Source organism: Homo sapiens, chromosome 2 (assembly GCF_000001405.40).
Source record: "Homo sapiens chromosome 2, GRCh38.p14 Primary Assembly".
Lineage (NCBI taxonomy): Eukaryota > Metazoa > Chordata > Mammalia > Primates > Hominidae > Homo > Homo sapiens.
The window spans coordinates 19337466-19363025 of NC_000002.12; the positions used below are offsets into that span (position 1 = coordinate 19337466).

The window sequence follows — 25560 nt, forward strand, 5'->3', positions numbered from 1 at the left end:
AAAAGCTGCATTTACAGCTTTGACTTCATTAAACTAGCAGGATTGCTTTATTTGCCTTCTAAATTTTCAGGACTTTTATTTAAAATGTTTCATCCTAAACAGAATAAAATGGAAATAAAAGGTGCAGCCTTCATCGCATCTTATAATTATTTGGAAAAGCAATCTAGGATGTCCTAGAGCAAAGCTTTTGTTCGCACTTCCAAAAATGTCCCTTCTGGGCAGCCCCTTCATGCTGGCTGCCGTCAGGGCTACCAGTAGATTGTTCTTTTTACTCCAGTTTTAAACACACAGTTCTCATTCTCAACCTAATGATCAGAAGCATGTTTTTCCCAGGAGCACAATTAACCAGTCACCCCTCTTTACCTTGAAGTTTCCTCATTTCTGTAATTGGACCAAGGCTGTTCTCCTCCAAAGTCCGGCTTAGCTAGGAACACCTTCTCAAGCTCAGGTGCCACAAAAGGCACAGGGAATGCTGAGATAAGCAGAATTGGCTCATGTCCTCAAGGAGCCTGCAGTCTATAAGCAGATATTTGTAATATAGCATCAGAAATGTTAAGTCACAGCTTTTATAGAAGTACATTGGAGAAGTCCCTGGACCAGACTGAGAAGGTAAAAAAGTTTCAGGCTGCATCCTGAAAAAGTCTGGTCTGGGTGACACTATATGCTGACTGCCTTCTTCAGCTATATTTCAGCCATACTGATCATACGGATCATTAGTATAAGGAACCTGGCTAAAGAAGAAACTCTGAAGGGCAATGGAAAGTCTAAGCCATGTCCCATCAAGACGGCAACCTGAAACCCATCTGAGGCCTCACTGCCACCTCTGTTAGCCCTTGACATTCCCAGCTGAGGTGCTCCAACATTTTTCAGGTTCACAAGCTCATACTCCAGCTAGTGAAAGGAACAGAAATGCAGTATAACATCATAAACACTATGCCACCCTCTCAAACAAGCATCATCCTCTTCTGAAGAAAGACAAGCATGAGGTCCCTAGTGCAGGCAGGGGTTGGCCACATTTCTGCTCTCTTCCTTCTCCCAGGATGGGCTCCCTCCTGAATGAGACACCCCGGAAGGCTACCCTGTGAAGCAGGAGGAAGACTTCCACTTTGTGCTTGGACTTCCGCTTTCATCCTTCCTGTGCCAGCACTCAGAGCACCTGGTGAGGCAAAGCTTTCTCAGCCCAGGACCTCTTAGCTGCTTTCTTCCTCACCAGCAGGAGGTCAGAGCCCAGCACTCCTCATTTGTCAGGCCAGGGCCTCCCCTCAATGAATCTCAGTTACAGGGAGGCAGTACAGGGTCCTGGGAGCCCATGGATTTTGGAGTCTGAAGAATCTGGATTTGAAGGCTGGTTCTATGATTTACTAACTTTGTTATCTTGTACAAAAATGTACTTCTGAGCCTCAGTTTCCTCATTTAAAAAAATGGGAATATTTGTGATTGCAAATCTCTTGGCACAATGTTTCAGATATGGTAAGGATTCAACAAATGGTAGCTATATAGAATATCCCCTCCCCATAGGTCTGCATTCTATAATAAACATCATCTCTTACTAAGGAAGGAAGGAAGGATTCTCATGAGAAAGTGAGGGACTCTAGGCTCCTTGGAAAGCAGCTAAGGAGAGCTCAAGTGAGAGGTGGGTGGTTGGTTCTCAAAGGGTGAAACTCTCGCACGTATTTCTGAAATCAAGGTGAGACAGTTTTGTTCATGATCCAGATGCAGATGCATGCCTCCTATGCCAGGGGTAAGTGGACCCCTAGGGCCAAAGGAGGCACCAAGCCAAAGCCAGCTGTGCACCCATCTCTCTTTGCTATGTGTCTGCAGGAGGGTGGGTTGGGGGGGGGCGGCGGTGTTCCAAGCACCTCGATGGACCTGGTGTCAGTCAGGTAGGCCTAGGACAATCATTCTTAGTGAAAAATAATAAAACCAACAAACTGAAAAGGGCAGAATGGATTTTTTCCCCTGGGCTCCTCAGAGGTTATATTAGCAGCTCTGAAGATTCTTTCTTGGTCACTGATATTCAGGCGCCATGCCTTTCTGGCCTGTACACATTATGCTGCTCAGAATAATTTATATAGCAGGGAAATAAGTCGATATTAGAGATTCAAAGAAAACTCTAGACATTTTACATTTTTTCCTGTCAGTCAAAAATATATTTAGCAACTAATTGTGAGAGGACCTAACAACCACAGCTAAAATACCTGTAATACTTAGTTTTGGCTCACTCCCTAATTTCAAACTCTGATGATTATGAATAGAAGACAAAATCTGCGGGGATTGTGTGTGTGTGTCAGTTCTGAGCCACATCTAAGAACCAGTCTACAGATGGAAGGAGAGTTCCTGCCCACCACGGGGGTGGTACAGGGTTCCTTGTCTCATACAGATAACCTTATGTGAAAATTCCCATTTTAACACACCAACAAGGTCGGTGTGGCCTAACTACCACTGAGCTCTCTTCCCCTGAAATTAGAAATGAGTGCAATTTCTTTTGTTTCTCTAGAAACAAATATTTACAATTCAAACCTTTATGTTCAGTATTTCAAAATTTTTGTTTTTGCAATTGTTCTTACTTTGAAAGCAGTTGATTTGGTTTTATTCTGTTTCTGGATCAAGTCAGAATATCCACACACTTCAGCATATTCCTAAACGTGAGATTGATTTACTGATTACAGCTATTTTAATCCAGGGATGTCTACCACACAGTTCTCTAAACTACGTGCAAGGCTTTTTTCTGCCTAAATCTTCATAGGTGACACAACTAGCTCCAGGACAACTAAAAGATCAGAGTATTCAGGAAAGAAAAATAAATTCGGTTCTCACTAATAGCAAAAATGGAGATAGTAAATCTTGGAAATGAAGTCTAAAACTTTTTTAAAACTATCCCACGCAGGTTTTTTTTTTTAATTCTCTTTGCTCTGAGACATTTTTGAAACCAAAAGCAGCTGAAAAACTGGTAGTGTTTGCAGATTATTTTAAAGAATAAATAAAAAGAGGTAAGCCGTCTTTAGCAATGTTATCTATGTTTATGGCACATATTTAAATTTTCTCAGGCAGAAACTGTAGAAGTTAGAAAAGATAGGTGTTTTTATTCTCATTGACAGGTAAGAATTGAGGTCCAGAGATGCTACAGGATTTGACTAAGATGACTGAAGAAAGTTCAGCAATAAAATCTGCACTGAGACCAAGGTTCCCTGCCTCCTAGCTCTGTTTATCCAGGCTATCTACTTAAGTCTTTCCAGACTTACTGAAATCAACTTTATGTCATAACAATATATACCTGGAAAACATAGGGACCGCTCCTCTCAATTTGTATAATGCCCACACTTAGTCCATAATCTGGAATACATAAATCTTAATAAAAATATTAACCAAAAAAAAGTTTTTCCTTTGATAATTATTTCTCCTCCTGATCAAAACTACACTAAGAAATCTAGAGGCACAATTTTAGAAGAGAAAAAAATTCTATCCCCTTAGGAAGTATTTTTACACTGAAAAAAACTAACCTAATATTTTAGGAAAATGTAAATAGATTCCTGAAATTCCACTGCCAAAAATTTAATGAGGCTTACAGTTTTATGGACAAATTTACGTTAAAAACTGTGATCTGAAAATCAAACAAAGGAGTAGGGTGTAAAAGAAAACCATGCCACTAGAATCATTAGATTTTCTCTTTTCATAAACAAAATAATGCAAGACTCTACTGTGTCAAAATTCAACAGATTGCAGCTAATCTACAAATATCAATTGTTCTTTTTTATCCACAGGGAACTTAAATTCCAACATTTGAGATAGATGAAGGTTCTATAATTTTATAATAAGACCATTCCAGGGCATTTTATGTCAACATATAAAAGGATGATTGTGCATTGTGAAACTTAAAATATCACAGTACATTAGAGTGGAAACCCAGGATCATCTAAGAATAACGGGAACATCTTAGATCATCCTATCCCCAGGAAGTAAGAATTTGTGAAGAAATCTACCAATCACTTAGTGTATATTTCTATAAGGCCAGTAATTCTTCACTTATGCAATCAGACAGAGACTCATAAAGCGACAGGTTACCACTTAGCAAAGACTGAGTAGGGAGCCTAGACTTCCATCTTCTTCCAGCTGTAACAGGGCACCCCTCCCTGTCCCACCCAAGTGATGCCTGAGAAGACTGAGTGAACAGTCAAACTTTCACCATCACCCAGAGATAACAAGGCCTTTCACCTACCTCCTAGTAGAAGCCACATGAGGATCAGTAAAAAAGCACCTCTACCCCTCTGAGCATGGGAGGTGTCCCCAAAGGCCTGGAGGGGAGCCTAGACCTTCACCCTGTCACGTAGCAAAGCAGTACGTCCTTCTTCCCAAATGAGCAGCATCAGAGGAGGCCTGCTAAGAAAGATTTAAGCAAAACCCAATCTCATAACATAGTACCCAAAATTCCAAGAAAATGATGGAAAATCAGGTCACACCAAGAACCAGGAAAATCTTAACTTTAAAGAGAAAAGATAATCAACAGACACCAACATCAAGATGACACAGATGCTGGAATTATTGACACAAATTTTAAAGCAGCCAACATAAAAATGCTCCAATTAGCAATTACAAACACTAGAAACAAATTAAAAATATGAAGTCTCAATACGGAAATAGAATATATCAAGAAGAACCACATGGAAATTTAGAATTTAAAAAATTCAATAATTAAAATTTTCTAAAAATCCCAGTGGATAGGCTCAACAACAGAATGGAGGGGACAGAGGGAAGAACCAGTGAACTAGATAATAGAACAATGGAAATTACCCAATCTGAAAAACAGAGAGAAAATAGACTGAAAAAAATGAACAGAGCCTCAGGTACCTGTGGGAAAACAGCATTCTAATATTTGTGTCATTGGAGTCTAAGAAGCAGAGAAGAAAGTGGAGCTGAAAAAGCATTAGAAGAAATAATGACTGGAAAATTTTCAAATATGGAAAAAGGCATAAACCTGCAGATTTAAAAATCTGAGAACATCCTGAGGAGGATAAACTGAGAGAAATCTATACCAAGAACCATCATACTCAAACTTCTGAAAATTGAAGAACTAAAGACAAAGAAAGTAATCTGAAAGCAGCACTGGAAGTCAGGCGTGGTGGCTCATGCCTCTAATCCCAGCACTTTGGGAGGCTGAGGCAGGTGTCAACTGTAGTCAGGAGTTCGAGACAAGCCTGGCCAACATGGTGAAAACACGTTTCTACTAAAAATCCAAAAATTAGCTGGGTATGGTGGCTGGTGCCTGTAATCTCAGCTACTTGGGAGGCTGAGGCAGGAGAATCGCTTGAACCTGGGAGGCAGAGGTTGCAGTGAGCCGAGGTCACACCATTGCACTCCAGCCTGGGTGACAAAAGCCAAACTCCATCTCAAAAAAAGAGGGGAAGGGAGGGAGGGGAGGGGAGAGGAGAGGAGGGTAGCATTGGAAAAATGACGCCTTACGTATAGGAGAAAAACAATTCATATGACAGTGGATTTCTGATTAGCAACCATGGAAGCCAGAAGGAAGTAATAACATTTTTCAAATGCTGAAAGAAAGTAAGTGTCAACCTAGAATTCTTGGTGAAATTAACCTTCAAGAATGAAGGAGCAAAAAGACATACTCAGAAGAAGGAAAACTAAAAGGATTTGTCACCAGCATACCTACCCTAAAAGAATGGCTAAAGAAGATAAGTTCTCAAAACAGGAAATAATAAAAGAAGGAAACTTGGAACATCAAGAAGAAAAAAAGAACAATGGAAAAAGCAAAAACATGGTGAAATTCAATAAACTTTACCTTTCCTCTTGATTTCTCTAAATTACTTTGATGGTCAAAGCAAAAACTTAGCATTGTGTAATGTGGATCTCAATGTATGTAGAAGAAATATTTAAGGCCAATGTGCCATAAACAGGGAGGATAAAGGAGCTTAAAGGGAGGTCAGGTTTTTACACTTTTCTCAAACTGTTAAAATGTTTTAACTAGTGAAATAGTTCCATATCTTGATTGTAGTGGTGGTTACAGGAATCTAAACATGTGATAAAATAGCATAACACTACACACACTCATTGTATCAATATCAATTTTCTGGTATGATATTGTACTATCATTATGCAAGATGTAACTAACCACTGAGAGAAATGGAGTGAAGTGTGTATGGAACCACTCTGTAATTTTCTGTAAATCTATAATTATTTCAAAATAAAAAACATTTTTAAAACAGGTGACTGTTCTAGATTAAAAGACACTAAAGACTAATGCAATGTAAGAAGTTTTATTGGTTTCTGATTTTTAAAAATACAAGAGGTTGGAAAATTTGGAGAAACAAATATAGATGGAACATTTGATCATGAAATGATATAAAATTGTTAACTTTCTTTAGTGTCATAATAATGTGGTTATGTAGGATAATGTCTATTTCTAAGAGATATGTGCTGAAATATTTAGGGATGAAATATAATGAAGTGTGGAACTGACTTTCAAATGATTCAGAGAGAAAGACAGAGAGGGAAACAAATAGAATAAAACATTGTCAATTGTTGACTCTATGAGGATAATCTGAGGGTGTGTTTTGTACTATTCTTTCTATTATTCTGTATGTTTGCAAATTTTCATTTTTAAAAATGTTGGAAGGATAGATTGATGGATGACTGTGAGAAAGCAAGTATAGTAAAAGACCAATTGTGAAATCTAGGTGGTAATTGGCTGAAACATTTTCAAATATGAAAAAAGGCATAAACCTACAGACTAAGAATCTGAGAAAACCCCAAGGAGGATAAACTCAAAGAAATCCATTCTATGGATGCTCACTATAAAATTATTTCAATTTTTCTATATGCTTGGAAATTTTCAAATTAAAACATTTGGGGGTAAAGCTGAAGGAATGTATTACAACTGAATGCTTTCCCCAGCACTTCCAATCCTCCTTGGCCCAGTTAAATACACACTTATGACAATTAAAATAAAACTTATCCTTTGCTAGGGGCAAAAGCTTGCCCAGCTTTCTGGCTGGAAAAGCCCTAGCAATGTTTCATACTTTTCCCACAGAGGTAAAGCCCCAGCCCCTGCCATTGTCCCAACTGCCACGCTGAATTCCCAAGAGCACTACTGACTGTCATGGAGAGACAAATGTAACCATGGTCAGGGTGAACTCAAGGATAAGCTGGTCTTCCATGCAGCCACCGAAAATCCAAAGGAAGCAATGCCTCAGGTGAGCAGCCAAGGCCCAGGAGTGGTGAGAAGGGTGGTGAGGGTAAAGAGCCTAATGAATTTTGTGGGACATATAAACTGGGATCTTGGTCAGGTGTGACCGAAGTTGCTGTATTTATTATATTATTAAAAAGGTAAGTGATGTTACTGATTGAGACTTTAAGCTAAGTAAACATATTAAACATTCAAGAGTAAGCACTAAAGAAATTAAGCGAAAGCTTATCATTTTATTCAGAGGAAGTCAGAAAAGGGGCATTAAAACAGTTGGACAACTAGAAACATAAAGTGAGATGGTAGAAGATAACAGCAATATAGACATCACAATAAATGTAAATAGCTTAAACAGTCATACATGTATATGTGTGTACATATATATAATTTTTGTATATATGTATATATAATTTATATATCTTTGATGGAACTACAATAAGAAAATGACAGTTCCACCATCACGGCGGGAGTTTTTAATACACACTAAAGTGTCAGTTAGGAATTAACAGGTAAAGAAATCAAGACATTAAAGATTCTGGATATTAGTCCTTTGTCAGATGAGTAGGTTGCGAAAATTTTCTCCCATTTTGTAGGTTGCCTGTTCACTCTGATGGTAGTTTCTTTTGCTGTGCAGAAGCTCTTTAGTTTAATTAGATTCCATTTGTCAATTTTGGCTTTTGTTGCCATTGCTTTTGGTGTTTTAGACATGAAGTCCTTGCCCATGCCTATGTCCTGAATGGTAATGCCTAGGTTTTCTTCTAGGGTTTTTATGGTTTTAGGTCTAACGTTTAAGTCTTTAATCCATCTTGAATTAATTTTTGTATAAGGTGTAAGGAAGGGATCCAGTTTCAGCTTTCTACATATGGCTAGCCAGTTTTCCCAGCACCATTTATTAAAAAGAATATAGAAGATATGAACATTATAATTAAAAATATGGATCTTATGGATACATAGATCCCTCTGCTAATAATAACTCTTCTAGTATTTCCACCCATCTTAGAGTGTCCATGCTCAACTATTTCAGTGTCCAATGATCTCTCCAACGATAAGGTCATGGAGACTATTCCTTTTGGCTACAGCACAACACATGCTCTGGTCCTTGGCCTACCGTACACCAACAGGGAAATGCTATGTGTACTGTGAGATACCAAAGCAATTCTGAGCTCCGACTGCAAAGACATTCAGTTCTGGACCCAGGTTAATTAAGAAGTGGACCAAATGCCCAAGCAAATTTCAATATTTAAGGCAAAACCCAAATTCTCTGGAAGTTCATTTTCCCCCTCTGGTTGTCAGGAAGCTAAAGAGTCTAGCCATTCCTTCCCCATCTCCACTGGCTTTCTTCCATGCCCCCTATAAAGTTTATCATCTCATGCAACTGTCTACCTACAGGATCCAAGTGGTACCCACTCCTGCAAATGATAGAAAGAAATCCACCCCTTCCCTTGTCATGACAAAAACTCCTTATCTTATCTCACTAGCAAAAAAAGTTGAAACCAAACATTTAAAATGTATTAATTACGCTTTATACATCCCCAGAGACAGCTGTGCTGATGAGAGCCAACTCAGTGTTTGGAAAAGGGAAACAAAAACTTTCAACTCATTCATCCCTCCATCCCATTTTGGGGGGTTAATCCTTTCATATTCTAATCTCTGGAGCTGGAACTAGACTTAGCCAGGAAAAATGACCAAAAAAAATGGCAGCAAATTGCCAGGACTGGGTGACTGGGTGAGAGGACCATTCCTGCAGAAGTCCACATAAAGAACATTGTGTGGCCACTTTTTCTTTAGACTAGGATGCTCTAACACAAGTCAAAGAAAACAAATGGGTCAGGCATGGTGCCTCACGCCTGTAATCCCAGCACTTTGGGAGGCCAAGGTGGGAGGATCACTTGAGACCAGGAGTTCAAGACCAGTCTAAGCAACATAGCAAGAGCTCGTCTCTACACAAAAAAAGTAGAAAAAATTACCAGACGTGGTGGCACACACCTGTAGCCTTGCTACTCAGGAGGCTGAGGTGGGAGGACTGCTTGAGTCGGGGAGGTTGAGGATGCAATGAGTCCTGATCGCACCGCTGCAATCCAGCCTAGGCAACTGAGGGAGAACTTGTTTCAATCAATCAATCATAAGAAAACACAAATCCACAAGGAAGCTTTCACTCTGCAAGCCTGTGTTTAAGCACTTCCCTATCTTTGCAGTCACACTTGCCACATACGTACATAGGCTCCTTCCCCAGCTCCACACCTCAGTCGCCATAGGTTGTTTTTTAACTCCCTGGGTTCCACAAACGTGTGGTGAGTAGCGCTCTGACATAGGGCCATGACACATCATCCCAACCAAACATAACAATTTGTGAACTGATTAATCCATTGCTCCCTACGTCATTGAAAAAAGGCTTTTTGCCGGGGGTTTCAAGAAGTCCACCAGTTCAGTGATATTCTTCCTCTCTCATTTCATTTCAGGATGCCTCTGTTATAATAAAGATGGGGGTGGTATCTCCTGGGAATACAGTAGGTTGGGAGGCAGGCTACGTCAAAATGCTGAGAGGCATTTCTAAGCATCATCATCATCAACATTTACAAGGCCTTCATACATGCCAAAGTTGTTCTACAACACATTAGGGTAGTTTTTGGTTCAAGCAGTGAATACATTATTGGCAAAATGTGTATTACTTTTAACTCTACACAAAGTGAATGAGGTAGGTAGGAAAAGCCCTACCCCCATTATAGGAAGAAAACTGAGGCTAGTGAAGCACAGGGACTTCCCCAAAACTTGTGCTTGTCAGAAAAACCTAGAGCTGGGTCTTCTGGCCCTTCCCCTCAATGAAAGCACAGCTTCGAATTCTTTCTCTGCCACTGACATGAGATTTGTCTCCAACCTAGCATCTCAAGTCCGTAATGAATTTTTCATCTGAAACATATGCCAACTGGGCCCAACTACCAACTGGGCTCTAGAGACGGCCCAGGAAGTCGGGATGAACGGGTGGAGTGGGACACCAGGGCGTTCCACCGGGCTGAAGACCGTCTGAGAGCTCTACCTCAGAGAGGCTGCCCAAAAGAGCTGGGACCGCAGCGAACTTTCTGGCCTTGGGTAGGACCCGCCGCGCCACCCTCGCCAGCTCAGATCCCAGGGGCCTCTGTAGGACCGCGGCGCTGGACTGGGCACTCCAAGTCAAGGGCTCCAGCCCGCATTAGCCAAGCGCCACCCACTTTCTCGTCTGCATTTTCTGCCCACACATACGCCAACGGCTGGATGCGCCCGCCGGGCCAGTGTGCCCCTGAGTTTGTGATCCCCAAAAGCAAAACACTGAACTCCGCGACGATTTCCACGCACCGCCGTCAGCTTCCGGACTCCGGCACCAGCAGCACTGGCCTGCGAGTTCCTTTTGCGCCTGCGCGTGGCGCTTGCGCAGTGGGAGAGGAGGGCGGGGCCGCAGTGGGCGCGGCCATAGTGGGCGCAGAAGTGGGTGGGATGAGTACGCCGCGGCAACTGCTGCCCTGAAACCCCGCGGGCAGGGAGACCACTCTAAACCACTGATTCAAGAAGAGGACGCTGCAGGGCACCGCCCTTCACTCAGGACAGCTGCCAACGCTTCGGGTCTGCGGATCGTGTTAGTGGAGACGAACCGATTCGTGGCGCCTGCCTGGGCCGATTCGCGGGGCGGGGCGGGGCGGGGCTGAGAGGTGTGGATATGTTAGCCCGAGGCGGGGCCCATCTGTGACGTCACGAAGTTACGTAATGGAATGCCTCTGTGGACCTCATTCAAGCCTTGTGTTCCAGCCCGAGGCCTCTGTGACGTCACGGTGTCTGCGGGAGGAGACCATGACGTCACAGAGGCTTCGCGCTCTGAGAGGTGGGACGGGACTCTTTTGAGCCGGCTATGGGGACACCAAGATTCTAGGGGATTTAGGATATCAGGTCCTCAGGTTCTGGGAGCTGAGGTCACGTCAGGGAGTCCCAGAGCATCACATTGCGTCCCTCCCCACAATGTGAGCAGTGAATTCCGCGGCAAGGAAGTACGCGGGAAAACATTTTTTAGTGGGTCCCTAACCCCTAACTACACTCTGGAAATAGGGGGTAGAACCTGAAACACTCTCTCCCAGGAAGAAGCTCCTGCAAGCTGTTCTTTTCCCTGGAAGCACCTGATATCTTACCGGAGACAGCATCTGGCAGTTCCGGGCTGTGCCCAGGGTCTCTGGCACCTTCCGCCCTCCCTGCCCAAGAGGCTGTCCTAGGCCAGATAGCTTCCCCAGCCGTACACAAAAACTTCAGGCCTAGCAGCTTTGAGAAGGGCCCCAGCTGAACTCCACCTGGCCAGCACCATCGGCCTCTTTTTCTCCTGAAAAATAGCCCCAGCAACGCTGAGCGCCACACAGTCACTGGGACCAGCGAAGCTTATTGTGATGGGGGTCTGGAGAGGAGACAAGAGCTGGGACTTTCTAGAGATGCATTGGGGGAAAAATTGGGGCAGGCAAGGAAACCCACCCAACATTTCTGACCCTCTCAATTGCACTTTTTGTGCAACCCACACTGAGTATGAGCAGGAAACTGGGGCACTAGTTTCCAACCACATCAACCAACCACATCACCTGGGAATTGTAGCCTGGATAGGGTCGGATGGCCCACAGGCCCAGCCGGCCTTTCCACCTGTAGTTACTGTTTCTGCACAGTCTATGAATCACTAGAACAAGCTGCAGGGAGACGTGATCTCTGAGTCCACCGGGATAACAGCAAACATCAGTAGAGCAAATAGGGGCATTCTGAGAGGGCCAGGGAGTTGCTGCGCATCATCCTGTCCCACCCTCCATTCCCCATCCCCAATTTAAAATTCTGCACTGGAAATCTGTTATTTTGAGGATGCACACTTGATACTGACATTCAGTTGCAGACCTTGGACTGGGTGGGTTTTCACAGTGCTGGAGGTGGGGTGACCCAAAAAGGATTAACGTGGCTGGCAAACCTCCCCATTTCACCGCATTTGTAGCTTCCTGAGGCCCCGGGAACTGCAGAGGCTCGATCTTCAGGGAGGTGGAATGATGTGTTCTGGGAGGTGGAGGGATGTCAGGGGCTAGGGAAGAGCAGCCATAGACAACCCCAAGGATAGCATCCCAGAAAGAGCCAAGGGACTAGGAAGGGCACCCTGTGTGTGTGTGTGTTCACCCATGCACTCTGGTTGTTTTGGAGCAACCATGGCCCGCAGCCTCCTGGGGCTTCATAAAGAAACCAAGGAAGATTCTGCAGTTGACCCTAGTACAAGCTATGGTCAGGCACAAACCACACCACAACCTGCGTGCGCCGCTTGGGCGCAGACCGTCTACACCACCCGCAAACCTACTGGCTAGCCCCACTTCCACGCACTCAGAGGCCCCAGTTCTCAGGAATGGGGGCATAATCCTGGGCCGCGCGCGACCTTGTGAACTGCTTGGAAGAAGGATTGGGATAGTGCCCAACTAATGAAGATCCCTCAGACCAGACCAGACTCAGCAGCGCCCTGCCCCTCATCCACAGTGGGTCCTGGGGCCAGTCAAGATTTTGGGACCAAACACATAGATGCTTGGTGGTTTCGCGAGGTTGCGGGCAAGACCCCTTGAGGTGCCAAGTCCTGGGCCGCCCCTCCAGGGCTGGCCAGCAGGGGGCAGCGTGGCTCTGAGCGTGGAGGCCAGGGCTGGTCCGCGCCGGCAGGGCCAGCCTCCAGTGCCCAGTTGGGTTCCCGGGCCTCGAAGTTCTAGCCCGCACAGGACTCAGGAGCGTTCCCGGAGGAGGTGGGGATGGGGTGGTGAAAGCCCAGAGCGTTTTAACTTCTGCATCCCCTGCCGCTTTCTCAGCCAGCAGGGCCCGGCTTGAGGCTGGGATTTTTGGTGCCTGCAGCAGGGAAGCTTATAGTCCAGTTGTCATCCGCGGCCGCCGCGCTCCGGGCGCTGAAGCTGGAGAGGCCATCCTGCGCTTGGGAAAGGCCGCGGGCGCCACCGCCTGCGCGGTCCCGCGGTCAGGGCGCTGGAGCTGGGGGGAGCCCCGCCTTGCCCCAAGGAGAAGAGCCCCGGCGGCCTGGCTTCTAACTGTGGGAAAACTAGACACCCCAGGGAAGGTTCAGCTTATGGAAGGCGGACTCGAATTTTTCCTCCTAAGCGTCCCGGGCCTCCCAGGGCGCCCGCCCCCACCATTCCTGACAAGGCTTTAAAATTGTAGGGAATCTTCGCGGGTGCAGAGCCTCGATCCTAGGAGGGGACAAGTCCCAAGCAGAGAATTGTGTCTGAGGGACCCTAAGGGAGGGAGTGATGTTGGTTTGGGGTTCCGGGGAGGCAGCGGTCATTGTGTATTTGCACCCGAGTGTTGAGACCCGGGGAACGGGAAATATTACAGCTCTGAGGCTCTGTGAGGGCGGGTCCTTCCCACCCCAAAGCCAGAGGCCAGGAGGGAGGCCTTCGGTTAGGGTGGGGAAAGACATTCTCTTCTCTTCTTGCACCCTAAGCGATCTCAGCACCCAGAGACGCTGTCTCAGCACCCAGAGACTCTGGGATTTCTCACGGGCGGTTTTCTGCCTTCAGGCTTAGGTTCTTCGTAAACTCACAGCACTTTAGCGGTGAGGAGTGGGAAGGCTGAGACCCTATCCCTGAGGCGGAGGAGAAAAGTAGGAAAATCAATACATGGTGGGGCGGAGGCAGACCTAACCGGGAGAGAGGACGTTGCTCCACACATCTCAGCCCTGTCATCCTAATAAGACGGGGTGGTAGGAGGGGGACACGCTGGCGTCCAGCAGAGAAACCTGGTCCTCTCAAAGAGAGGACCCAACCGGTTTCCTGCGTTTAGGAGGGAAATTACCCATCCTGCAATGCCTGTAAAATAACCGTTTATTTAATAGTTAAAAAAAAAAAAAACTCCAGTGATAAATGTCCGTTACCGATGGTCAGCATAAAGTGCCAATCGCAATATAACGCCCGGCTCTTGGCTGGCTGCTCCCTCGCAGTGTCGCGGCAGCGGAGGCCGGGCCCCCTGCAGACCCCAGGCCCGAGGTCCCCGTCCCGCTCTCCTAGTCCCGGAGCCCACGGCCGCCAGCTGAGCTGCAAGAGCTGGGAGGGGGCTGCCCCGCGGTCCCTAGGGCAGGAGGCTGAAGCAGATACAGGGATTACACTTTTGCAGGCTCCGGGGGTGGGGGCAGGGGCGGGAGGAGGAGGTGGGAGCTGCCAGTGCTAAGGACTTCGTTGCCTCTCCTCTCTCCACTCACTCTCCGCAGTCAGAGTTACAAGCTTATATGGTCAAAGACAAAAATAAAAAAGAAAACGTATAAAATAACAATAGAAAAAGTAATACTTCTGGGAGAGGCGCCGCTGCGGCTCCGCGGAGCTTTCGTTCTTTTTTTAATGCAGTTTCCCTTCCGCCACGTGAGTACCGCCTTTTGGCCAAGAGTTTAGCCGCGTCCTAGGGGAGCAGCAGGGACGGTCGGGGTCGCGGCCCCGGGCGGGGCTCTGAAGTGCCGCGTGCGCCAGGGACCCAGGGGACAATGTTGGAGAGGTGGAAGGTCCCGAGCGAGCGCCTCTCCCGCTGCCCGCCAGAGTCAGGCTTCTGGTCCCTATGGAGGAGAGGGCCGCTGGGCCTAGGGTCCTTGTGACCCACAGGTTCTATTTAGCATTTGATCTTGGAGGTTTTGAGCTCCTTCACCTGTGAGTGTAGCGTCTTGTGGACAGCGAGAGTCCTGGACTGGCAGAATCCTTTCCCACACTCTTGACACTTGAAGGGCTTCTCTTTGGAGTGAATATATCTGAGGGCAGAAACAGAGAGTTCATCCTTGCAAAATGATGCAATGTTATAAACAGTTGCCCAAGATCCCCTCCCACTGCTGTGGGGCACTTGCCCTCAAAGGAAAAGTGTATAGTCAGGTACCAAGTGTGGATGGGACAAAATGTTAATTGGGGATGGAGTGGGGAGGTAAAGGAGATGCTTTAGCAAAGTCTGATCCTTAAACAGGTTCAGCCACCTGTTTAAGGTGCCTTCCTGGTGGGCAGGAGGGGCAAACTTGGCCTCCTTATAAGGTCAACACTGAAGATGAGTAAAGGGAGCTGGGGTCGGACAATTTGCTCGACCTGCGCTGTCGAAGATGGTAGCCGCTAGCATGTGTGCTTATTAAAATTAAAATTACTTAAAATTAAATAAAACTAAATTAGTTTCTCAGACATTTCAAATACTTAACTGTCACATGTGTCACATGTCACACCCCTGAGGATGGAGGAAGTGGGGCAGAGGAAGCTGTGTGCTTGTCTGGAGCTCACGGAGACCTCACTTAATCTTGGGTCCTCTTTATTCCCACATTTCCTGAACCCATGCTCCAAAACCTATCCCTGGATCTCCTAGGCTTTCCTTCTTGATTTTAAAGAATTCCCTGAAGCTCCAGAGGCTTGGAGCCAGTAGGGGGTCTCAAGAACCTCGTTAGGGAGAAAGATGGTGAGGCCAGAGGCAGAGAGCTCTCTCTTGCGCCACCCGCAGTGCCGCACCTGTGGTCTCGCAGGTGGTCTTGCCTCCGGAAGGCTTTGTGGCAGATGTCACAGGTGTAGGGCCGCTCGTCGGTGTGCGTCCGCTCATGGATAAGTAGGTTGTAGGACTTGGTGAAGTGGCGGCCACAGAACTTGCAGACGAATTCCTTCTTGGTCTTGGAAGGCAGACGTCCCCTTGTGGGCTTCTTTTCTGGAGACAGCTTGGTCACGTCGAGGAGGGCACCCAGCCCACCTGCAGGGGAGCCTGGGCCCTCCCCGCGACCGAGCTTGGCCGGATCTTCTTGCGTTGCTGCCAAGGCCAGGTTGGCAAAATCAAAGCGCGGCTTGGTCTTGAGCGCTGGAACGCTGCCTCCAGCGGTGATCTCGGGCTTGGGTTGAATGACATGAGGGAACCAGGGAAAGGCGGGCAGCTGGAAGCGCGCATCCACCAAGCTGGACACCGTGCCCGGCACTTTGGAGAAAGAAGAGCGCGGCAAGTGCATGGCCGGGTAGCCCAGCGTCCACTGATGCAGGTGCACAGCGTGCAACGCGCTGAAACCATACAGGTTGGGCAGATGGTCCGAAGGCACTGTGGGCAGGCCGTTCACTGCCTGAAGGAAGGAGTAGTTGGTGAGCTGCAGGGAAGGGTGGATAGGCACCGGCGCCGGCAAGGTTTTGCTGCCCATTTCGGTAGTTGCAGTGGCTTCTCAATCCGGATCTGCAAAGAAAAGAAGAAGGCAGGGGCGTGGAGAGGAATAAAGAAGTTCAGGGTGGGTCGCCTTCCTCCTGAATTCCAGCCGAGCCACACCCTCTCCTCACACCCAGCGCAGGAGCTAAGAGTCTAAGACCCCATTCCCAAAACCCACTGCCCTCACAAAGAGGGTGGGAATGTAAGACGCAGGGGAGCCCTCTTTTCAGAACCCTCCTTGGTCTAAGGGCTCCCTCCAAATGGCGTCTGGCAGAGCCACACAACTTGATAGAGGGAAGGGCCTACTGTATGCAAGACACTGAGAAAGGAACAAGCAAAGGGAAACTGCCTGTCCTGTAGAAATTGACATCCAGGTAAGCCCGGGTCAACACAGAATCACAATCTCCTGCAAAGATAACAGGAGCTGGGGAACATACTTACACATTTATTTGCAGATAAACACAGAATTGCACACGTGGATTCAGACATTCTGAGGCAGAATTGACAAGGTGCAAAGACTGGGACAACCAATGTTTTATAGTACAACACTGGCTTTAAAAAAATGCAGGAACCCCTGAATCTCACACACACACACACACACACACACACACACACACGGGATCACATTGCACCCATGAAGAGCCTCACAGACAACACACATACACAGGCGCACAAATGCATGCACCTCCTGGCTCCCATTCATTAAGGTCTTCTGGCTGACCTTCGATTTGGCTTCCAGAAGCCCTGTCATCTTTCTCCTCAAAACCCTCAACTTTGACCTTAAATCTGCTTCCCTGCCTTAGTGTAAGTGAAACCTGTTGGCTCCACTCTCTCTGCAGCTGCTTGTGGACTGACTCTCTGCCTTGCCTTAGCCCTCGGGGACCACTTTGCTTTCAAGGAGGTTGCTAATATCCACATTCATTTACTCTGTCAAACAACTGCAGTCACAAACAAGGGGGTGTTAGTGCCCTCACTCCCCCAAAGAAAAAGGGAGCTGAGTCTTTGGGTTGTCAGCATGTTCTTGTGTGTTGTGAGCCCTGGGCAGGTGGGTATGCCTATGGGCAAGAACACTGAGGCCAGGCCTCCATTCCTGTGGTCTATGTACCTCCAAGTGCAAGGTTGGAGAGCTTGAGCAAGGCCAGAGGAAAGCCACACTGAAGTGACCAGGGGTTGGCATCTCCAGACCTCCTTGGCCATGGTCTCCAGCCTCCGTGGAGACATCTGAGCTCTGCAAAATGCTTTTCATCTCTACCTCCCAGACACTCCTAATTTAGATGTGTCCAGTGGAGGAAAGAACAGGGTGAGCAAAGTCTAAACTGTCAGGGAGCCTTGGGAAGCCCAAGCACTGAACTCCTGGCTCTTAGCTTGGGGCTACTTAAGAAGTCATTGTCACAGCAGGGTCCGTGGGACTCCCTTCTCTCTTGCCTAGCTTCAATCCCCTGCTGTTGACTTCTTCCTTTACCCTTCATTACTCTCCTCTTCCTAGGTCCTTTCCTCTAACATGGAGCAATTCCCCTTCCCTGGGATGCACTGGCCTCTGCTCTGCTCCCTAGTTTGGCGTGCCCCCTCCCCAGGTTGAGCTGACCCTCAGCCCAGGGCAAGGCCCAGGCATAGACTCCTCTGCCTTTCGCTGCAGCGAGGCTTTCAAAGCCTGGCTCTGTCCAGGGATGTGCAGTGCCTTTTCCCAGGAGGTATGAGGGCAATGTTGACCCAGGAAAACCTTTTCTCCTGGAAGCTGGCACGGGGGCCACTGGCTGTGTGGTGGGACCTAAGGAAAGAGGCCTTCCTGGGAATGGGGTGTAAAAACACCACGAGCTGGCCGTGATTTGCCTGCGCAGTTTAAATTAGCACTCGGATAAAAACCGTTGCAATGAATTTAGCCTCAGGGCAAGAGGAGGCATATTATCTGCGTGATCTGGCCTCTGAAGCAGAGCGCTGGTGCCGCTGGCAGCGCCGTGGCTTCAGCAACGGTCATCTCTACTGCGCCAAGCTCGGGTCGTGCCCGGGACAAATTGAGACTATCCCAGAGCTCGGACACAAGGAGAAGTAAATTTCAAATTGGGCCAGAGAGGAAGCTGAGACCCATTTGGGTTGGGGAAGGGGAAGGAGGAGAAGCCTGTCTAACTTCAAAGGTCGGCCTGGACTTAGGAGGGATGAGCGCTCTTTGAATTGCTGTCACCTCTTCTTCCCTTCCAGGCGCTGGAAATCAGATCCTTATCTCCGGGTCCCGGACCCCGCTGGGCGCCGCGGAGGCCTCCCCCTGCTCCTCTGGGTGCTTGGCCTATCCAAGGCCAAGCCAGCGGCCGTGGCTGTGGGACTCTGGCCTGCACACTGTCCCGAACCCGCTCCGTGCCTGGGTGGGAGAAACCACCAACCTCGCTAGGCCTTTCCTCGCCTTCTTCCTTAGAGCCAAGACCGGAGCCGTCTTGGGCTCCGTAGGGGGTGCCGGGAAGGGGGAGTGCTTGCAGCTATAATGGTTCCTGGGAGCCAACCTTTCCGGGCTATCTGCCCGATCTTGTTTTCCCCAACACTACATTTATTTTCTTCCGCGGCCCAGCCCGTTCCTTGTTTTCTGAAGCATTCGGAAGCCAGTGCTCCCCAGGCTCCCGCCAACGACTTTCCCCAGGACGAAATTCATTCGAAACGTGGCTCTTTACACTAGTATCAAGAATGGGCCGAAAGCACGATCCGGTTTCAGGAGGTCGGTTAAGAGAAAAACACAGTCTCACCCTAGCCTCTCCAGCCAGAAAGGATGAGTGAGCCCCCGGCTCCTCCGGCTCCGGTTTCCCAGACCGCGGAACCCCAGGGCGAATACTTTCGATCTTTAAACACAGGATGGAAAACCCTTCCCCAGGCTAGGCACCCATTCCTCAAACAGCTTGGGCCTCAGGACCTGCGGGAAAGAATAAGGGGACCCGACCACGCACAGCAGACGCAATTCGCGCTCGGGATCCCGAGTCCCTGCGCAGTGCGGGCACTCGCGTCCCTCGCGCGGTGGAGCGCCAATCCCAGGTCTGCGGCCAGTCCTATGCTGGGCATTAATGAAGTGTGCAGAGTCTATTAAAGTGGTTTATTCGGGGCTAATTGAGCGTGAGCAAGTTAACTGCTTGCATTAATGAGAACGGGAGCGAACTCCACGAGTTTGCGCCTGGGGGAGCCCAGCAGCAACCCAAGAAAATCAGCCTTGACATCGAATCTCCAACGAGTGGTGACAGGCGTCCGGACCCCCGTGAAGAGGACTGACCGGCACCGGATACTTCTATAGCATTCTCCCAACAAACGAGATCTAACGAACCCATTGGCAAGGCGGTCATCCGGCTGCACTTAAATGTCCGCTGCGTCCTCGGTGATCCATTCCCCAATCTTAATAAAACAGCAATTACCTCGAGGAGCCTGGGATGGAACATCTACACGCCGCCGGTCGCTGCTAGTCCCCTCCAGCGCTTCTCTTCCCTAGGGGGTTGTGAACCTGGGACACCTAGCCTTGCACGTGGTTTTGTTCCGCAGAGCCAATGCGCAGCTCTTAGCCTGGGTGAAATTTACCAAATTGTGGCAACAAAGAAACCCTTGCGGCTACTTTACACATTGAGAACCCAACCCGCTACTGCCTGAGCTGCTGAAAAAGGACTAAACGTGGTTTTTCATTCTTCTCCGAGACATTTCCGAGGAGAAATTAGTTCAGCAGGCAGCCCTTCACCCCTTTCCCCCTTCTTTCTCTCCTGACGGCTGGATTAGCGGACAGTCAGGGGAGTAACAGAACTTTTCCTGTCCCCAGCCCGGAGACCCTAGGGCTCCACAGAGTTTCCACTAGTGCTGTGTGTGGGTCTCGAATTGGAAAGCAGTGCTTGCGCCCACTGCATTGCCTCCCTGCACCAGGACAATCAAGGGTTCCGCTCCAGGCCTTGACGACACAGAGCAATCATCCTATGGAGAATATCCCTAAGTTAGAGCGCGAGTGCAAGGCGGGGTTCAGACTCGCAGCCCTGCGCTCTCGGGTCTAGGCGGCCTCATACTAGAGCGCAACTCCTCAAAAGACAAACTTGAACGAAAGCGCTACCGAGCTGGGGCATGCACCTGTCCCTGGCGCGGTCGGCTGCGGCTGTGGCCATTCACTCCCTCTCCCTTCCTTCTTCGTCAACCTGGGCGTCAGCCAGAGCTAGGAGCGCGTCTCAGGAAAGTTTGTGCCCGCTGAAGTTGCTCTGGTTTCTTAAAGGGGGCCCACAGATTGACTTTCAAAGTCCGTGGGCACCTCGCCCGTGATTCCGCAGAGCCGGGCGGGCTGGCCGCAGTAGCGGAGGCCCGCCCCCCTTAATCCCCAGCGGTCAGAGGCCGAGGACCCCGCGCAGGAAGTCCTGAGGCAGCACCCCCAACCACCCTGCTCTCACTTTCACAAAAGTCCTACAGCATTCGTTTGGCAAGAGCTTCCTTCAGGGGCATTGAGAGAGAGGAGGCACCCGCCGAGCAGTGACAAGGAACCTGGGAGTCCTGCCCGCATTCGCTTTGCTGAGCCCAGGCGCCCAGGACTGCAATTACCTTGTTCCGCAGAGGTCCTGGGGCTGAGCACGTCTCTGGGGCTTTAGCTGAAGGGGACTGGGGAAGCCGGAGGCCCTGGAGCCCACAGGCGCCCCTGGAGCTCTAGTGTCCCGACTCCTCTCCTGCCGCGGGGACTCCAAGCGCCGGACACGCGGGAGCGAGCGCTCAGCAGCCCCGGATCCTGCACGCCGGGGACGGTGAGCCTCGCTCGCGGCTCCCTCGCTGGGTCTGAACCAGGAGCAGCTGAGAACGTGCCGGGGAGAGGCCGAGCTCCGACTCACTCATCCCTTAGCACCGAGCCGCCTACTTATTTTAATCCACCACCCTCCCTCCTCCACCACCCCCACCCCCGCCCCTTGCCTCAGGATTCCTCCCCTCCCTCCCCTGCCCCCCAACCCTGCCCTGCGCCTGCGCAATGAAAGACAAAGTTTTTGCTGACCCGGGCAGCAGACTTTGGCAGCTGCTCTCGCTTGGACCCGGCCTCTCCCAACCTGCGTCCCCTCCTCTTCAGTCCCGCGCGACCCCTGCTGCCTTTTTAGGTCCAGAGCGGCACGCCTGGCGCACTGGAGGAAACGGTCCCTAGCAGATGAGAGCGGGCTGGCACCGCACGTTTCGAGGTCCTATACTTGGGCTCCTAGGACACAGCCCGTGCTCTTTGGGAGGAGGGAGGGAGGGGCAGTAGCTCTGTGCACCGGGATCCCCACACCGCGGCTTGGGTTTCAACGCACTTTGGCGCCTGACAGAGTCGCATCTCCTCCCAGAATCTCTTTCCAGAGGCGGCAGACCCCGAGTGTGGAGCAGCTCCTGGCTATCCAAGCGTGCTCGGGGCCAGGGTGTTAACCCAGGCAGCGCTGGTTAATTCCTGGTGCGGGAGGGCCAGGGTCACCGAAGCAAGCGAGCTGTAACATCTGAGTGCTTATGGTTGACCCCAGACCCTAAGTTCTGGAGTCCAGTAGAAAGAACAAAGAGTAGGGAAAGGAGGTCAGGAAAGTTATTTTCCTGGGGCCCAGAACTCTCTGAGATTTCACCCCAATGCACAGTGGCACTCTCTACTTACATATTTGTTTTAGGATGGATCAGAGTTTAGAGAGCCGCACTGGCAAGCTAGACGAGCTGCAAAGTTGTCAGTTCCAGGGCCTCTGAGTCAAGGAGCTGGTTCAGGTGGAGTTTTTAATCGGAAAGGAATCAGAGTTCTGGACATTAAAAATTCTATCTTCATTGCCTAGGCATTATGGAGGGTACCATCACCCCCTTGACTACCCATCTCTGAAAGCTGACCTCCGGCTGACCCCAGCCCAATCCCTCCCTAATGCCTTTCTGGAATACCCTTCCAGGCCTTGGGTTTGGCAAGGAGGAGTCACTGGTTTCCTGGGACTTGTGTGGGTCCAGATCACACAACTGCACTCTCTGCCTTTGCCCCAGAGTTGCTGCTGAGTGACTCTTGGAGCTGGATCCTAGATTCCGTGGGTCCCTAAGTACTGTACTGCTTCTCTCCCGAGGAGCTTCTGCTATCTCCAGCTTTGGTTTGCAAAGCTAATCTGATTTTCTTGGGAGGTGAAGAAGGTTGTAATACCTGACCTAGGGAGATGGTAATGAAGACTCCCCTCCCTCAAAGGCATAGTTGAAAGAGGATTTCCTTATATCCCCAGGCCTTTAGAACAGAATCTAGCCTCTAACCCCTGGGTAACTTCGTCTTGTTTGAGGAGGAGTAAGAGGGGGTGCAATCTTTGCTCCAACGAACAGCTTTTACCCAGTGCCTCAGGTTAGTGCAGAAGTAAGAGATTCACATAAGTTTGTCCATGCTCCTGGAATCTTAGCAGTTGCTAGGATGTAGTGACATTCTTGCTAGAGTAAGAACCCTTGGAAGAGAAGAGAGCTGAGATCACACCTCCTTCCTAGAGATTCCAGAACAGAAAGCTTCAAGGGCAAGGAAAGGCCTGGAGGGAAAGTCTACACAGGGCAATGCTGAACTTTGCTGGCTTCCACCTTGGGCACAGGGAGTGTGCTTGTTCCAGCCTCAGGCTCTCCAAATAAGCAAAGCTTGGGTAACCTCCATTACCAGCAGCAAAAGTTAAGAAGTAAAAAAAATGCCCACACGATAGGGCCTCTGGCTGTCCAGATCACTTAGGAATAGTGGCTGGTCATTCAGGTGGGATGGAACCTCCTGGGGTGTAAATACCCAAACTCCTGCTATGCACCCCTCATAACTCAGCTGGGCTTCTTTTATGTTTCTCCTTGTCTTTCTTTTCTAAAACAGGGCCCTTGGCCAATATGCCTCAGAACTTCCAGAAAGCCCTAAGTAGTAGGATCCCTAAAGAGCTCTCGGAGAGAAAGTGTTCCTGATCTTAAAGAAGAAACATGCAACCGAGTTGTTTCACCACTGCTTTGCCAGATTATCTTGAAAACTGATCCTGACTCAGGTCTCTAGAACTTAGTAGATGTAGAGCAGGTTGTAGAGCAGATGTAGAGTAGATGGAAGCAAGGTTGGTGTTGGTCCCCCAGGCTGTGCCTCCCAGAGAAATCATGACCACCTCTGCCTGGAGCTGGTCAGCAAGGCCACAACAGGACAAGGCCAGAGTGCACCTGAGTGCTAGTGACGATGGCTCTCCACAAGGGCTCACCTGTTTCAGAAGCCTGGCTTCAGAGAGGCGTCTCCTAGGTCGCTGACAATGCACAGCCTCAGAAAGCCAGGATAACGAAATTCAAGAATTGCTAGGAGCTGAAAAGTCCTCCATCCCGCTCTGAGCTCCCAAGGGGGTGACCCCCAAACCCTAGCCTTGACCTCCACAGGAGGCCAACCAAAGTCTGGGTTCCTTCTGGGCGGGGCAGGCAGGAAGAAGCCCAGGAAGCTAAGAATCCCTCCGGCCGTTCGGTGCTGCGGTATCCCATCCCCCGCCTGTTTAAGAGAAATTGATCACGTTAAGCGGGCCCTGCGTCGCTGCGCAGTGCCCGGACTACCGCTTGGATGGATTGACAAGGGAAGGACGCAGGACACCTAAGAGCAACAAGGGTACTTTTTAAGCGAGGTTACATGTGTTTAGGACTCGCGAGGACGTCACGTTTCGAATTTGGTAAAAGTCCTCGGTAGCTAGGACCCAACAGTTCTGCCCTCCTGGAAACCCAATGAAGGTGACAAAACTCCCATCTCATTACTGGGAGTCCAGCGCACTCCGCCACCGCGGCTGCAGCTTCTGCTAGCTCGGAGCCTGCGGACTCCAGCCGGCGCGAACTCCGCCGCGACTCTTTCTGGCTCTCTCGCTCACTGCCTTCGGGGCGGAACCGCGGGCGCCGGAGTGGTCCCAGACTCGGCTGGGACCGGGCAGCCTAGAAGAAGGGTCCCCTCAGTAGAGACCAGGCCTCCAGCTCTCCGTCCGGCGCTCCGCTCCACAACCCGCCAGTCGATGTGAGGTCCGTCAAGGGAGCGATCCCTCCGTCTGCCCGGGCTTCCGGGCTGTGGACCGCACTGAACCCAGTCCCGCAGCAAGCCCTGCTGCCGCCTTTTCCTGGGCACGCCTGCGGTGGTGACGGCCCGCTGCTCATGTCTCCACGCCAAACCCCAGCCCCTCTCCCGATTCCTGCTCCTTGGTAAAGCGCCCCAGCCTGTCTTCGGAGTGAAAATTGAGCAGCTTCCAGAAAATTAACTAGAATGTGGTCTATATTGCTTTGAGTTGTTTTGGATTCAAAAAAAAATGAACCCCACCTCTCCGCACCCCATAGCCTAAAAAAAAAAAAAAAAGTCCTCATTTTTTCAAATGAAGTTTGCTCAGCACTTGCGAATTTTTGCTTCCAACGCAACTACTTCCTGTAACTACTTTGCAGACAATTGGGGGTCTGCTCGTTAGAAACCCCCTTACGCATGTACAGGGCTTTCAAATAACCTGGAGATTTAGGCGTCCCTCTGTATTCATTTAGATGATGGATAGTAATGGCTCAATAGTTCCTCTGGAACCATTACGGTCAATCAGGTCAAAATCCAGCTTGGGGGTGGGAAGGATTTTTAAGCACGGGAGGTAGGTAACAGGACTCCTGCGCACATTTGTTCAGATAACACCTCTGATAACGTAATGCAATCCAGGGTCCTTAAGAGAACAGATGCCAGGTGAACGCAAGAGCGGGTGTTTTTTGTTGTGACAGCGACAGACAAGTTACAGTATCAAAACTGAAAGGGAAAGTGAACTGTTTTTCCAGGCAGTTCCCGTTTGGTAAGTTCTTTACGGGCACACAAATGTAACTCTTTCACCTTAATAAATGTAACAATACATACACACACACACACACACACACATATACCTTTGGTTTGTAAAAATATGTGTGACATGAAGCATAAATACTAGCATGGAATTGCATGGGCATACGATCATCGGGAAAATGGAATGATGATGTCTTCTGTTGTGAAGATCAAATGTAAAATGTATGTAAAAGACGGCATGGGTTTTTACTTTTTACACAAATTTGAGTTGTCAGACTATTTTAGACACATCCAGATCTATGTACTAAGGTTAATGAACTTTTCCTTTTTCCAAGGTGTAAATAAGTGCATTAGAAACAAGGCAATGTCTAATCAGCCGGGGATGTTGGAGAACAGTAGTTTGAACGGAATTGTGAATAGTTAGGGTGGAATCCTGCAGATAGAGCCACCTACTGCACCCGCGGCGCTGGGTCCTTCCGGGCTGCACCGGCGGCGG

General features: G+C 49.1%; 1 protein-coding gene and 1 non-coding gene across 6 annotated transcripts, besides 7 other annotated features; one reads left to right on the top strand and one right to left on the bottom strand.

The window, feature by feature from the left end:
- Positions 1 to 7408: 7408 nt before the first annotated feature.
- On the bottom strand, positions 7409 to 21158 carry OSR1 (odd-skipped related transcription factor 1). 5 transcript variants are annotated; one of them, XR_007069637.1, is made up of 4 exons: positions 20876 to 21158; positions 15676 to 16372; positions 10523 to 14945; positions 7409 to 9283 (listed from the first exon to the last, which is right to left on the bottom strand). XR_007069637.1 is itself a non-coding variant. In NM_145260.3 (3 exons), the coding sequence occupies exons 2-3, from the start codon at positions 16338 to 16340 to the stop codon at positions 14810 to 14812; spliced, it is 801 nt and encodes a 266-aa protein (NP_660303.1). In that variant the 5' UTR covers positions 16341 to 16372; positions 20876 to 21158; the 3' UTR covers positions 14020 to 14809. The 5 variants fall into 5 exon arrangements, 2 of the variants coding, with proteins under 2 accessions (NP_660303.1, XP_006712005.1); XR_007069638.1 differs by having other exon boundaries at positions 10430 to 14945; XR_007069636.1 differs by having other exon boundaries at positions 10227 to 14945.
- Positions 10062 to 10121: an enhancer, noted in NCBI's record as "active region_15361". NCBI's record gives its function as "activates an Ori minimal core promoter by ATAC-STARR-seq in GM12878 lymphoblastoid cells {active_cell/tissue: GM12878}" and the evidence as "EXISTENCE:reporter gene assay evidence [ECO:0000049][PMID:35858748]".
- Positions 10272 to 10541: an enhancer, noted in NCBI's record as "active region_15362". NCBI's record gives its function as "activates an Ori minimal core promoter by ATAC-STARR-seq in GM12878 lymphoblastoid cells {active_cell/tissue: GM12878}" and the evidence as "EXISTENCE:reporter gene assay evidence [ECO:0000049][PMID:35858748]".
- Positions 10592 to 10721: an enhancer, noted in NCBI's record as "active region_15363". NCBI's record gives its function as "activates an Ori minimal core promoter by ATAC-STARR-seq in GM12878 lymphoblastoid cells {active_cell/tissue: GM12878}" and the evidence as "EXISTENCE:reporter gene assay evidence [ECO:0000049][PMID:35858748]".
- On the top strand, positions 10964 to 11040 carry MIR4757 (microRNA 4757). Its single transcript, NR_039914.1, has one exon. It is a non-coding gene; the product is annotated as a microRNA 4757 (primary transcript).
- Positions 13045 to 13114: an enhancer, noted in NCBI's record as "active region_15364". NCBI's record gives its function as "activates an Ori minimal core promoter by ATAC-STARR-seq in GM12878 lymphoblastoid cells {active_cell/tissue: GM12878}" and the evidence as "EXISTENCE:reporter gene assay evidence [ECO:0000049][PMID:35858748]".
- Positions 17906 to 18871: an enhancer, noted in NCBI's record as "H3K27ac-H3K4me1 hESC enhancer chr2:19555132-19556097 (GRCh37/hg19 assembly coordinates)". NCBI's record gives its function as "activates a minimal SCP1, AML or CMV promoter by ChIP-STARR-seq in naive H9 embryonic stem cells {active_cell/tissue: H9 hESC(naive)}" and the evidence as "EXISTENCE:reporter gene assay evidence [ECO:0000049][PMID:30033119]".
- Positions 18872 to 19836: an enhancer, noted in NCBI's record as "H3K27ac-H3K4me1 hESC enhancer chr2:19556098-19557062 (GRCh37/hg19 assembly coordinates)". NCBI's record gives its function as "activates a minimal SCP1, AML or CMV promoter by ChIP-STARR-seq in naive H9 embryonic stem cells {active_cell/tissue: H9 hESC(naive)}" and the evidence as "EXISTENCE:reporter gene assay evidence [ECO:0000049][PMID:30033119]".
- Positions 20502 to 21030: an enhancer, noted in NCBI's record as "H3K4me1 hESC enhancer chr2:19557728-19558256 (GRCh37/hg19 assembly coordinates)". NCBI's record gives its function as "activates a minimal SCP1, AML or CMV promoter by ChIP-STARR-seq in naive H9 embryonic stem cells {active_cell/tissue: H9 hESC(naive)}" and the evidence as "EXISTENCE:reporter gene assay evidence [ECO:0000049][PMID:30033119]".
- Positions 21159 to 25560: the final 4402 nt, after the last annotated feature.

Excerpts from the sequence above, each read along its gene's own strand:
- OSR1 (NM_145260.3), bottom strand. The coding sequence starts at position 16,340 with ATGGGCAGCAAAACCTTGCCGGCGCCGGTGCCTATCCACCCTTCCCTG. Across the intron at positions 14,946-15,675 it reads GACCACCTGCGAGACCACAG|ATATATTCACTCCAAAGAGA; the intron begins GTGCGGCACTGC and ends TTCTGCCCTCAG.